The following is a 15408-nucleotide window of genomic DNA, read 5'->3' on the forward strand; positions in this document are numbered from 1 at the left end:
TTTTAAAAGTAAAAAGTCAAAGTAAGGTTTAAAAAAAGGGATGGGGAAAGATATGCCGAGAAAGTATTATTAACACAGGAGGATGGCAAGATTATTACACAAAACAAAATAAAAAAACAAAAGGGTCTAAATGAGACAAAATGATATTAAAAATAATAAAAGGTAGAATCATATAAAACCTACAATAGTCATAAACTTTATGTACTGAGTAACATAGCAAAAATGTGTATAAGGCAATAAAACTCTTAGAAAACTTATGAGAATTTAACAGATCTTAATATTAGTAGTCAATTTTAATATTTTTATTTCAGTATTGAACAGATTAAGTAGTTTGAAAATAAGACCAAAACTTTTGAATATTCAAAAATATTTTAATATTGCATGTTTGAATATTTTGATATATAATATATTTGAATAAACAATACATTCAAATATGTATTGAATATGTAAGTATATACACTTAATTATAGACAAATACAATTTTGTTCTTTATAGAGTTTTTCAAATCACCAATGAGCATTTGCAAATGCTGACCATGTACTAAACTACAAAGAAAATCTCAATACAGTGTAAAAATTTAAATGATTATTGGGCATGTTATTTGATTGCAATACACTAAACTGGAAATTAACTATTAAAAGATGACAAAAGTGGTCTAACTTCTTAAAAATTACAATAAAAGCTTTTTATCATGCCTTTTGAATAAATGAAGAAAACAAATCTAAAATTCGGACTACTGAAAGACATGATAAATGGAAGCAGTGCACATCGGAATCTAAAGGATACAGCAAAAAGCATCCTGACAGAAAAATCCATATTTTTCAGTTATTTTGTGATAAAACAAGAAAAATGGAAGATTAGTTAAAATTTAATTCAAGAAGTTTTAACAATAAAAGACCAAAATAAAGTTGGAAATATAAACTAATGAAGACGGCCTGCCGCAGTGGCTCACGCCTGTAATCCCAGCACTTTGGGAGGCTGAGGTTGGGAGTTTGAGACCAACCTGAACAACATGGAGAAACCCTGTCTCTACTAAAAATTCAAAATTAGCTGGGCGTGGTGGTGCATGCCTGTAATCCCAGCTACTTGGGAGGCTGAGGCAGGAGAATCGCTTGAACCCGGGAGGTGGAGGTTGCGGTGAGCTGAGATCATGCCATTGCATTCCAGCCTGGGCGACAGAGCGGGACTCCGTCTCAAAAAAATAAATAAAATTAATTAATTAATGAAGAATTAGAAAATAACAAAATTTAAAATTTGATAAAATCATAAGAGTGGTTTTAGAAAATATCAACAAGAGAAACAAACCGCTGATAAACCTGGCCAAGAAAACACTTTAAAAGATAGCTGGGCTGGACGCAGTGGCTAACGCCTGTAATCCCATCACTTTGGGAGGCCTAGGTGGGTGGATCACATGTGGTCAGGAGTTTGAGACCAGCCTGATCAGCACAGTGAAACCCTGTCTCTACTAAAAATACAAAATTAGCTGGACATGGTGGTGCATGCCTGTAATCCTAGCTACTTGGGAGGCTGAGGCAGGATAATCACTTGAACCCAGGAGGCAGAGGTTGCAGTTAGCCCAGATCATGCCATTGCACTTCAGCCTGGACAACAAGAGTGAAACTCTGTCTCAAAAAAAAAAAAAAAATACCTGCAGTTATTAAAATTGAGAAAGGATAGATTGACAATTTTGTCAAAGATTTACTTCCAGATAGTGTTACAGGAGGATACTCTCAAATTTTAAAGGATCTGGTAATTCCCATGGTTTTTTGATGTTGTTTGTTTGTTTGTTTGTTTGTTTTGAGATGGAGTTTCGCTCTTGTTGCCCAGACTGGAGTGCAATGGCGCGATCTCGGCTTGTCGCAACCTCTGCCTCCCAGGTTCAAGCAGTTCTGCCTCAGCCTCCCGCGTAGCTGGGATTACAGGCATGTGCCACTCCACCCGGCTAATTTTTTGTATTTTTAGTAGACACGGGGTTTCTCCATGTTGGTCAGCTGGTCCCGAACTCCTGACCTCAGGCGATCTGCCCGCCTTGGACTCCCAAAGTGCTGGGATTACAGGTGTGAGCCACCATGCCAGGCCAATTCCCATGTTATCAAATTATGTCAGTATAAGAAAAGATGGACACTTGCCAATTCAATTTTTTAGGTTATCATAATCCAGATTTCAAACCCAATAAAACATCAAAAACTGTAGACCTAATACTTCATCAGTATAGATGTAAAGGTCCTAAAGAAAATATTAGCAATTTAATCCATCTGTTCATTAAAAACGTTATGATCAAGGAACTTTTGAGAATTTAAGAATAGTTCAAAATTAAGAACTGTGTTGATTATGTCATTTTTATAGTTGCCTGTAGGAAGCAACCTCTAAGATGGTCCCCAGTGATCTCTGCCTCCTGGTATTCACAACCTTGTGGAGTCTTCTACTCTTGAATAATTTTCTATTCACCAATAGAATTCAGCAACATTGAGGGGATAATATTTCCATGTTTAAATGACAAAAGATTTTGACTTCCATCTTCCCAGCAGACTCTCTTTTGCTGGCTGTGATGAAGCAAGTTGCTGCATCAGGAAGCTCTATTAAGCAAGGACCTAAAGGTAGCCTCTGATCAAGAGCCAGTTAGGAACTGAGAGCATCAGTTCAACAGTCCAAAAGGAACTGAATCTTCCAACAACCACATGAGGGAGCTTAGAAGCAGATCCTTCCCCAGTTGAGCATTCCCATGAGACTCCATCCTGGCCAACACCTTGATTGCAGCCTCATAAGAGATCCCAAAGCAGACAGCCCAGCTAAGCTATGATCAGGCTCCTGACCCACATAAACTGTGAGATAATAAGCATGTGTGAAGTTGCTATGTTGGTGGCAATTTGTTATGTTGTAATAGACATCTCATTCGGATGCCTAACAAGCTTTTGAGAAAACTGACTAGCCATTTATATAAGAAGCCTCTAATTCTGTGGGCCTCATCTTTCCATAAAGGGATTTCTAACAGTAATGTTTCTGTCCTCTCTCTGGATCTTCCTACCAGGGAGTGTCTGGTGAGTATTGGAGAATACACTGAAATTCCTTGGCTCTGCCCCTTGTGAGCTTCCCATTTTAGATGTGCTCGCCTGCAGACAGGGTCTTTTTCTGGAATGCCTTCCTTCGTGTGATATTAATTTTACCAGGGCAGCCATGGCTATGTGGAGGAGGCTTACCGTTTTGCACTTTCATCTAGGTGAGTTTATTTCTAGGGTGAAAAATTAGAAAGCCATCTGAGTCCCCACATCTGTGCCACATTCTTCAATTGTTCTCACCAATTAAGCTGGTGTTTTGATCTGTATCTGTCTGGTTCTTGTGTTCAGAATTGGTTCTAAACTCAAGGTGGGAAAAAGTTATTCATTAGTGCCCTAAAACTCTACCTAATGTTAGTTAAATTCTTAGGAGTCAAAGGAAGCTCCCTTAATATGGCAAAAAGTATATAAAGAAATCAACAGCAACTATCATATTCAATGATTGATTAATAAAGGAATTTCTATAAAAGTCAGAAACAAGGTAAGAATGCCCCATTACTATTAGCATCCAAACTTGCTAATAAGGGAGAAAATGGAATTAATATATACATAGGTTGGAAAGGAAGAGATAAGCATGATTATTTTGATGATATATTCTCATACATGGAAAATCCAAAAATATCAGCTGAAAAGTATTGAAACAAATAAGTATGGTCCGTAAAATATAGAGAAAAAATATGTACAAAAGCCAGTTGCTATTCTTTATACAGCAATTCTTTGTTGGAAAATATAATGGGCAAAAAAGTCCATTCACAATAGCAGCAAAATGATAAAATACTCAGAACATATCTAAAAGAAATGTGAAAAATCTTTCTGAAGAAATACGTAAAACTTCTCTGAAGGAAATAAAAAGAAGAAAGAAAGATCTAAAGAAGTGGAGAGACAACCAGCAGGGTTCAGTGACTTAAGCTATTCTGTTAGGACAATGTGTACTGTATTTCTCATGAGTTAAACATAAAAGCAAATAACAGTACTACAGGGTTCTTTAGGAGATGATCAGAAAATATCATTTACATAGTATCCAAGCTCCATATTAAACAGGTTTTTGAATTATTCAGTACCGTCCAACAACTTTTATAGTTCTGTGATTTGGACAAGGCGTGCAGCACACCTGGCTGCTTGACAATGTTGTCAGTCTTCAACAATCCTTCCTCAACCCTAAATGGTAGAACAGGCTCATCATCATGGAGACCCTAGCACACTGCAAAAATGATCTACTCTGCATTTTCTTCTGTTGGAAAATGGCTGCATAGAATTATATGTGCAGCAAACAGAGGGCTAGCAAAGTTCCGCAAACAGCATTTCACACAGAGCTGAAGAGTGGTTTCCTCATGGAGTCAAAAAGCTGATTAAGCATCTCTCCTCTGAGCTGCATGCCTATGTGAACCAACAGCAGCTTTGAACAGCACCAAATGGCTCCATAGAGCCTGTTCCTGTTACAATGTGAGACTCCAGAAAGATGCAAACAACATATTATTCCTCATTTTGTGGTTCTTTGGGCTCCAAGACCACAATCTCTACTTAATAAATTATCTTTTTTGGGGGAATGGGCAGGCTCTTGTTCTGTCACTCAGGATGGAGTAAAATGGTGGGATCATAGTTCATTGCAGCCTCCAACTCCTGGGCTAAAACAACCCTCCCACCTTAGCCTCCTAAGTAGCTGGAACTACACGTATGCACCACCTCGCCTGGCTAATTTTAAAATTTCTTGTAGATGGGGTCTCGCTATGTTGCCCAGGCTGGTCTCAAACTCCTGGGCCCAAGCCTCCTGGGCTCAAGTGATCTTCCTGCCTTGGCCTCTCAGAGCCCTGGGATTATAGGTGTAAGCCACTGCTGTTATTAAGCAAGGACAAAGGTCGTATGGCTAACAGTTTATTACACCCACAGTACTCTGTGTCTCTCAATTAGTCATGGAGTAAATCATAGTGGCTTTCTTGTGTGTGTCAGGTTGGTCTGAAACAGACAGGCCTCCATGGACCTGTAGGCATCCCCCTGTGGCAGTCCTAGTCTTCTGGCCTGTGAGACAGCCCATTCCAGAAACAGGAAAGATGGGGTTCATCATTATTTGCTTTTTAAATCTCTCATATATTGCCTTTATTTTTCTATTACCCCATTCCAACTTCCCCTCCTTTCTAAACTTCTCTTGCTGAACATTTTTGTAGGAATTGGGGTAAAATTGTCTTGAGAAAAGGCAGCTGTGGACTATACTATAAGTTTCCCAAAGGTGGGACTGTGTTTTATTCATTTTTGAATCCTCAAAACCTATTACACGATACATGCACTCTACATTGTTGAATAAGGTAACATAATTTTGAACTTGAAGCAAATAAGGAATTTCTATGAGAGTACTGACAAGTATACATAAATCATGTATACTTCTGGTGTATGCTGGCCTCAATTTTAAGCAAAGTTGAGAGCTTTGAGTCAGACACAAGAGTAGGAAATAAATGGTAGAATTAGCTACATACAGAGGGAAGTTTTAGAATCTCTTTTCCTATAACAAGTCAAAGGCAGTGGCTCTTTTGGAGTGTTTCTGTTTGTGTTATTGGTCTTGAGGTAGGACAGACCAGCTCATCCTATAAGGTTCTTCTAGATTTCTGTTGCTAACAAATTCGGTAAGAAAGAATGAATGAGACAAGATCCATTGCAAGTGGTCATTCAGTCTCTGCAGCATGTTTTTCTGTCTGAGAGCATGGCCTACATTCAGAAGCCTGATTCTGCTGCTGCTCTTCTTCTGGGAAAGGCCTTGACTGCAGAAAGCAGGGATGGAAGGTTCTCTTACTTACATCAAGTCCTTTTTTTTTTTTTTTTTTTTTTTTTTGCCGGGGACCCCACCTTCCTTTGTGCCCATGTCTGATGACTGGCATTTGCCATTTTTTTCTTTCTCTAAATCATTATGTTTCAAAACCGGGGGTTCTGCAGATTCTTTAGAATTAGGACCCTGTATTTCTCTCATCAGCCCATCCTGTCCTTGATTCAAGGGTTGGTCTGTGCTACATCCTGTGTTGCTTATCTAATGTCAGCTGCCTGCTTGGAACCAGAGAATTGCTACTTTTGAATCCCCCATGACTGGGGAGGGGATACCCATGCCTCCATGTCAATCACAGACAACCCCAGCACCGACATGCTGCTTGCCTGGGTTGGGCCTTGGCCTGGTGTTTTGCCTTCTCTCTACTACATATGCCTGTTTCTCCACACATGTAGCCATTCCCCTCCATTTCTCAGGGTCAAGTGCAGGCTGATTGTGGCCCATTCCAAACTACTCCTATGACCATGGTTCACTGGACTATACTTAACCATGTCTTGAGATGCAGCTGCAGCCAACAAATTCAGGAAACATGACATCAGCAAATTTTAAAAAATCTCAATTGAGAAAACGCACAGTCTACAAAAAAAAAAGGTGATGTGTCTTTGGCATTCACAGTGAGTTCTTACCATCTGCCACCATCTTTAACACCATTTAAATCTTCTCCATTTTTTGCTCAAAATATATTCCTCTTTCATTGTAGGTCTTCCAAAGAACATAAAAGTATAAACAATTTATTTTTTAATTTTACTTTTAATTTATGATTATTAATTTTTATTTTTAATTTTTTAATTTTTTTCAGACAGAGTCTTGCTCTGTCGCCCAGGCTGGAGTGCAGTGGCACGATCTTGGGTCACTGCAACCTCCGCTTCCCGGGTTCAAGCGATTCTCCTGCCTCAGCCTCCCAAGTAGCTGGGATTACAGGCACACACCAGCACGCCTGGCTAATTTTTGTATTTTTAGTAGAGACAGGGTTTTGCCATGTTGGCCAGGCTGGTCATGAACTCCTGACCTCAGGTGATCTGCCTGCTTCGGCCTCCCAAAGTGTTGAGATTATAGGCGTGAGCCACAGCACCTAGCCTATAAGCAATTTAAAATGTGTAAAAGATGCCAAATTTTGGTGAGGCAGAGGGAGATGAATGGCTCAGGCTGGCCTCTATGGTGGAGAAATCTCAAAGTAAGATTAATTGTTCCTAAGCTGGATGAAGCTGGTTCTGTTTGCCTGTGCACCTGTAATTGTTCATGCCCTTCAGCATTAGCAAACAACAAACTCTAGTTATTATAGGCAGAAAGGGAACCTACTGGTAGAATATGGAGTAGCTCAGACAATTAACAGGGAGGACAGAGAAGCAGGAAAATACCAAGAAAAGCTGGCTGTCCAGCACAGGGCAGGGCACCGCACAGTGGATACAGGCTGATTAGGGTGGCTGCCATCACTACTGCTGCATGGGTGCCACTGGACCCTGAATGCTGTCGGTGGTGCCACTAGGATAGGTTCTAAATTATCTCTGCTCCTAGGATTCCCTGCTCCAGACTCAAAGTTCTAGGCAAGAGTGGTTCCTGGCGATATCCTGGTGGCAACCCCATATCCTATCAGCTTCCTATGAAGGCTCACACAAAGGTGGAACTTGAGAAGGGAGTTCAGATGCTGAGCAGCCAAAAGTATGACAAGTGCTTGTTTCTCTCCTTTAACAACTTGCCCAAGAATACGCTTTATTGATTACCCTCCATGAGTGGGGGATAGCGGGATAGACTTACTCTCCCAAGGCAGGGAGCCAAGCTCCTGGGCTTGATCCCTGAGGGACTAATGCAGATTCTTACACTCCTTCTTGGAAGGAAACAGGAAGTAAAAACTCACTATGAGAAAAAGGTTGAGGTCTCGTAGGCTGTAAACACAGCTGTATTAGTCTGTCCTCATGCTGCTAATAAAGACATACTTGAGACTGGGTAATTTATAAAGAAAAAGATGTTTAATGGACTTACAGTTCTGCGTGGCTGGGGAGGCCTCACAATCACGGTGGAAGGCGGAGGAGGGGCAAAGTCACATCTTAGACGGCGGCAGGCAAGAGAGCTTGTGTAGGGAAACTCCCATTTATAAAACCATCAGATCTTATGAGACTTATTCACTACCATGAGAACAGTATGGAGGAAACTGCCCTCCATGATTCAATTATCTCCATCTGGCCCCACCCTTGACACATGGGGATTGTTACAATTCAAGGTGAGATTTGGGTAGGAACACAGAGCCAAACCATATCACCAACTCTGCCATTTAATTCCTTAGACAAGTTCCTTAATATCTCTGGGCCTCCATGTTCTCACCTGTGAAACGGGGAGAATTAAATGAGGCAATATATTTACAGTTCCTAATATGGAGCCCAGCATATACTAAGTGTTCAATCAGTGCACCATTATTATTATCGTTGTGATTTTGATTGCCTGAGTCCATTTCTCTGGGCCACAGTCCGGTCAACTTCACCCTCTCCTCACAGTGGTCTCTCTGCCTTGAGCTTCCAGGTGGCGGGTCAGGCTCAGGGCCTGATTTCTCCTTCCTGGAGGAGCTTCAGAATGTTGGCTTCTTTGTGGAGAAGAGGGATGATGTGTGAAGGGACAGAGTGTCATTGAGTGAACAAGTTTAAATAGAATCTTTCCATGAGAACTCTGGGATAATTTGGGGCTTGTGGTCAGAAAATGGTCAGTTATCGAATGGAGGAGTAAAGGCATTTTCTTCCTTCTCCCTCTTTTGAAACTCATCCAAAACATCAAAAAATAGACACAAAAACTCCATCTTAAATTTAAAAAAGAGAAAAAGAAAAGTCACACAATCTCAAGCCCACCTAGACCAAGTGTAAGTCATATGCTTGTGCAGTTAGTAACATTAATTATTAATACAATGATATTAATATAATAAAATATTAATCTTATATTAATACCAATATTAATATCAATTTTTAAAAACCACTTTATTGAGGTATGATCGACATACAAAAGTATATACATAATGTATGTAAAGTTCTAAATTTTTTTTGTTTTAAACAAAGTGCCAGATACAAGACAAGGTTATGGCTGAGAAAAACAGCTATTTCCACTAATTCCAGATTCTACCTAAATCAGCTGGCCCAAGGAGCGTCTCATTGTATTAAAAAAATTGTCTTTTGGCATACATAAGACTCAAGGTGGGAAACTGTTCATAAAATACACTGGAATCATCCTTCTCCAGATTATCCAAACTGCACCTTCTTCTTAATTTGAGATTTTCAAGGACGTTGTTAGGTTCCATGAACTTTTTAACCCACACAAGGAAGCTGCTTCTCTCTTCACAAGGATCAGAAAGCTAATGGAATAGAGTTGGAGGTGGCAATTCGCTGCAGCAGGGGGCATCCTGTGTGGATGTGTTTGGTGCAGAATGAGTTTAAATGAGGAAATTAATGTTTCACGTCAAGACAGGTGTCCCAAAAGCCGGGGAGATGCAATGAGCAGTCCTTTGGCTGCCTTGACTTGACTTCTTCCAGGGCAGCAGAAGAGCATCTGGGGCTATCAGGGTACTGGTTTGCTAGCTTTCTTTTGCTTTTGGGAATACTACATCAGTTGCCCAATTAACCTGATAGAACAACTCACACATTTACTTTGTTGTTCTTAGAGGATTCCTATGGGGCACAGTCTTGGCTAAGGCCACCTCACAGGGGAATGGCTGTTGGTTCTTTTAGCAGATTGATGGGCCGGGTATGCACACTGTCAAAGACTGCTGCAGTTTAATAAGGCTCTCAAGAGCATTTCCAACACCCGTCTAACCGGAAGACTGTGCCTCAATATGGCCATAGGACAGGGGAGTGAAGCGGTAAAGATGGAGGGATCCGCCTCACACTCACACTAGTGGACTCAGAGTCTGCCTTCTCCTCGATGGTTGGCCCCATGAGTTCAAAGTCCATGACTCTCTCAGTAGCAATATACAACGCAGCCTCACAAGAAGGGTTATGTGTTGAATTTTGTCCCCAAAAATTTATACATTGAAGTCCTAACCTGGGCTGGGCATGGTGGCTCATTCCTGTAGTCCCAGAGCTTTGGGAGGCTGAGGCGGGTGGATCACTTGAGCCTAGGAGTTCGAGACCAGCCTGGGCAATGTGGTGAAACCTTGTCTCTAGAAAAAATACAAAGATTAGCTGGGCTCGGTGGTGAATGCCTGTGATCCCAGTTATTTAGTAGGCTAAGATGGGAGGATCGCTTGAGCCCAGGAGGTTGAGGTTGCAGTGAGCTGAGATTGCGCCACTGCATTCCAGCCTGGGTGACAGAGAGACCCTATCTCAAAAAAAAAAAAAAAAAAAAAGTGCTAACCCCCGTGAATGTCACTTTATTTTGAAAGAGGATTATTGCAGACAGAATTAGTTAAGATGAGGTCATACCAGAGTAGGGTGGACCCCTAATATATTGTGTCCTTATAAATAGGGGAAATTTGGACACACCCACAGACAGGAAGAAAAACACTGTATGAAGATTGGAGGTATGCTGCCAGAAGCCAAGAAACTAGTAGAAACAAGTAGAGAGGCCCAGAACAGGTCCTTCTCTACCACCTTCAGAGGGAGCATGGCTCTGCCAACACCTCGATCTAGGACTTCTAGCCTTCAGAACTCCAGGACAATACATTTCTGTTGTGTAGGTCACCTGGTGTGTGGTACGTCGTTATGGCAGCCCTAGCAAACCAATACAAAGGGCTTGGCACAGGGAATGATGAACAATTGTTTCAATGAAAATCTAAGGAATCGTCGTGTCCCTTACTAAGCTGTGAGATCTCAATGAATGAATTTTGCTCCACAGTATGAGATGGAAGAAATGTCTCACTTATTTCTTTAAGTCAAATTTATTCTGCTCCCTGTGCAACTGGTTTGACAGGAACTTTAATGTTATGATGTTTCCGCTTCTGCCCCCACATCCCTGGGTTTGGGGAAGGTCCCTGCAGCCTCACACCATCTAAAACCTTTGGAGAGGGATTCTTTGGAGAGGCACATGGAGAACCAAGCCTGCACCCAGCTGAGCTTCTCATCGAGGTTGGCATTCTTGGCCTCTCCAGGAACACCTCAGAAGCATGCTTCTGTGAGGTCTGGCCATCCCTTGTGGTATAGCAAGGTTTAGCTGATTCTTGCAACTCTTGTGACATCCCCCACTGAAAAATCCTGTTTGTCTTTTAAGCTTGAGGAATAAAATCTTTCTCCTCTGTTCCTATAGCATTTCCCCTTCTTTTCTCCCCAGGGTACTCACCTCTTTTTTCACCCTCTCCAGAGACATCTCTAACTTAGGCTTTGCAAAACCAAAACCAGAAAACTCTGCCTTTATCTTGGCAACACAAACCCTTCTGAGGCTAGCAATGCAATAGTTGGATACCATCTTCCCTGGGGAAGGCAGAATTCAGTGTGAATGAAACACAAATTAACATCAGTGGTATATGGTGTTATTGTTCCCAATTATTCAATCCCTCTTTCTTCAAGGATTAGACATCCCTGCCCCCAAATTGCTATGTGACTTGCTGTGCTCTCCTGTGGGAGAAATATCTATTCCCTGCCCCAAATGATGTTGGACTTAGCCCTGCGACTTGCTTTGTTGATGGGATATGAGCAGATACAATGTAATGCCCTGTTTGAGCAGAAGCTTTAAAAGCCACCATGTTTCGACCAGTTCCTCTGACTCTTTTTCCTCTGCCATGAGAATAGTGTGTCCAAATAGAGCCTGCTCCTTCAGCCTGGATTCCAGAAGGAAGAGGACTTGTAGAACAGACCCACAGCCAACTTACTGTTGTGCAGAGCTGGCATCTGGAGCCAGTCCACAGCTGACATGTAACCAACACACATGAGAAACAAATCTTTGTTATTGTAAGCTACTGAGAGCTGGGGTCTAGTGTTGTTTGTAATCATAGTATAATCTAGTAAGCGCTTACTAGTAAAATGTCTAAATAATTATCTTTCCACTTAGAAAGATAATTCCCTTCTCTGAAGCTCATTTTTATTGCATGTGAAGTTGGCTTGGTTGGGCCGTGTGATACCTTAAGTCCTTTCCAGTTTGAATCGTCTAGGATTCTAAATCCATGTGCCCAGCTTCCTGCCTTATCCTGGATCCACATTGTTCAGTTGTGAAGCCATCTGCAAATCTCCTGCCCTTTCCTCGCCCTTGCAACCTTTTATTCTAACCCAAGTATCTGTGACAAAACAGGGGCCAATCATAGAGCGGAAAGAACAGTGGCTTAGGACACCTGCAGACTGAGTTCTAATTCTAGAAGCCAATTACTACCTGTTTGACCGCTGGCAATTTTACCTCATCTCCCTGAGCTGCTGTTTTCTTATTTGTAAAACAGGGATGCTAGGATTGTAAGGATGAAATAAGCTAATTCAAGTTTCGAATGCAGAACTTGTCACATACTATATATTTAACAAAAGTTAATTGCCTTCTTCCTTCCAAATGTAGTTTTTAGATTTATTTTTTTTGAAACTTTTAGGCTCGGAGTACATGTGCAGGTTTGTTATATAGGTAAACTAGTGTCTTGGGGGTTTGTTATACAGATTATTTCATCACCCAGGTACTAAGCCTAGCACCCAATAGTTATTTTTTCTGACTGACTCTCTCCTCCCACCCTCCACCCTCAAGTAGGCCCCAGTGTGTGTTGTTCCCCTCTTTGTGTCCATGTGCTCTCATCATTTAGTTCATGCTTATAAGTGAGAACATGCAGTATTTGGTTTTCTGTTCCTGCAATAGTTTGCTAAGCATAATGGCATCCAGCTCCATCCATGTTCCCCACAAAGGACACAATCTTGTTCTTTCTTATGGCTGCACAGTATTCCATGCTGTATATGTGCCACATTTTCTTCATCCAGTCTATCACAGATGGGCAGTTAGATTGATTCCATGTCTTTGTTATTGTGAATAGTGCTGCAGTGAACATCTGCATGACTGTATGTTTAAGGTAGAAAGATATATATTCCTATGGGTACATACCAGTAATGAGATTGCTAGGTCAAATGGTAGTTCTGTTTTTGGCTCTTTGAGGAATTGCCATATTGCTTTCCACAATGGGTGAACTAATTTACACTCCCACCAACAGTGTATAAGCATTTTCTTTTCTCTGCAACCTCGCCATCATCTGCTATATTTTGATATTTTTATAATAGCCATTCTGACTAGTGTGAGATGGTATCTCACTGTGGTTTTGATCTGCATTTCTGTAATGGTCAGTGATGTTGAGATTTTTTTCTTGTGCTTTTTGGTCGCATGTATGTCTTCTGAAAAGTGTCTCTTCATGTCCTTCTAAATGTCTTTAAGAGTTTCTGTATCCAAGAAGATTTTCAACCTAATGGGAACCAGTATCATAAGATAAAAGGAAAAAATTAAAACTTCCTTTCTGGTATCAGTGGTAGATGAGGAGGAGAATGTCAGGAATCTTGAGTCCTGTAAATTAAAACCATGGAGAGTTGCCTCTCTTTCTTGTTTGGAGGGATGTTTGGTCTTGTGTAGTGGTGCTTTGGAGTAGGGATTAGGCTTCTCAGAAAACTTCACCTTATTGACTTTTCTAATTACCCCCTGGATTCAGACTTTCCTTTCTAACAAAAGGCTACTATCCTGGTTGCCACACTGCTTTGCCCCACCCAGCTTACGTCTCACTTTGCTCCAAATAGAAGGAGTGTTTTCTTTGTCCATCAAAGCCACGTCCAGATTCTGGGGCTTCCATATCTTTTTCATAGCTCAAGCAACATCAGTACATCAATTGTCTAGGCCATAGAGACATGTAACTGGAATCTTGAAATGCAACTTCTAGGTTCTGAGATGGCTCCTCCAATGACAATGCCAGCTCTGATAGCTAAAGCAAAAGTGGACTGAGACCTGAATATCTGGGCCAGAAAAGGAAAGAAGTGTTGAAGAATGTTCTGTTTTACTTCACCAGTTTCAAATTTGTTGCAGAGGCAGCGAAGGACTCTCTGAAGATAGAACATATGAAGCAAGCCCTAATGCCATGAAGAAGCAGCCGAGTGAATGTCTAGGGGGGACTAATCCAGACAGAAGGAAAGAGCAAAGTCCCTGACCTGGGCACAGTCTTGGTGTGTTTGAGGGATGGAAAGTGGACCAGAGAGGCTCTAGGGTAGAGAATAGGTGGTGCATGCTAGGAGGTTTGGGTGGAGAGGCGGGGTGCCATGGGAAAACGGGAAGCCACTGAAGGTCATTTAGCAGCAAGTCATGGGGTCTCAGAGTCATCTCTGACAAATCAAGCTACTGTCATAAATAAGAATAAACGGGGTGGGGGAGCAGGAGCCCAAGTGAATCTTGTGGTTCCAGACAAGAGATGATGGCAGCCTGGACCAGGATTTTAAAGACCTTGAAAACTCAGACAGAGAAAGAGTGAGTTCAGTAAAGAACACTCACTCTTTCTCTGTCTTCCTCTCTAGCTCATCTCTCTGCCTGCATGAGCTCATGACTAGTCCTGGGATTTTAGGTCAATCTCTGTGCCCAAATGCATATTTCAATCCCTGCTTTTTCCACCAAGCTCCAAATTAGTGTTTGACAAACTACAGCCCAACTGTGGCCTGGCATCCATTTCCGTATGGCCCAAAAGCTAAGAAAGGTCTTTATACTTTTAAAAGATAGGGAAAAAATCAAAGAAGAGTGTATAACAGGGACTCTATGATCCCAAAAGAAAAAGTTTGATTACTTCTAGTCTAGACTCATATATAGCTCAAGTATAATGTGTCCCAACCAAAACTTTTGATGTCCCCCTGCCAAAATTTTTTCCTGCCTCACTCTTCTCCATTTCAGTAAATGGCATTTCTATGTGCCAGCTGCCTAAATTTAAAAATCTAGAAGTCAGACATTGATCCTATCTTGTATATTTTTTACTCAACCTATCAGCCCATTCTCTGGTTCCCCTCTGACATACGCTCTGCATCAGGTCACTGCTCACCACTTCCACTGTTAAAAGAACACTGAAGTTAGAGAATACTGGGGAGGGGGTGTGCATTATTCAAATTTTATTATGCAAGGCAACAAACAGTCCCTGTAGCTCAGTGCCTTCTGAGAAAAAAGGTCTATTTCTCACTCAAGTTACATGGTGGCTGCAGTCCTACTGTCAGTCTATTCTACATCTTCCTTCCAGACCCAGACTGAAAGATACACGCCCATCAGAGCAGCCTGCAGGGGAGGCCAAAGAGAGATGGTAGAACCAGGCAAGGACCCTAAAATATTCTCCCGGAATGCAGCATCTGTCACTTGCATTCACTTTCCATGATCAATCTGGTGGTTGAGGGGATGGGTAATTCTCTCACAGGGATACACCGTGAATCTTTGGGAACAAGAATACAACTATCACAAAGAATGTGGTGTTAAGGAAATCTACAGCACCTAATAATTCAAGAAATGGGATGTGGTCAGCTAGATCAAATGCCATTTAGAAGTTGAGTAAGATGAGATCAGAGCAGTGACAACTAGGGTTGGAAATATAGAGGTCTTTTGTTTAGTCAATAAGTCATTCTTCTAGGCTAGCCATATTAATGTGTACTTTCTGTGCTGGATGCCAATAGT

This window comes from Homo sapiens, chromosome 8 (assembly GCF_000001405.40).
Source record: "Homo sapiens chromosome 8, GRCh38.p14 Primary Assembly".
In the NCBI taxonomy this organism is placed as follows: Eukaryota; Metazoa; Chordata; class Mammalia; order Primates; family Hominidae; genus Homo; species Homo sapiens.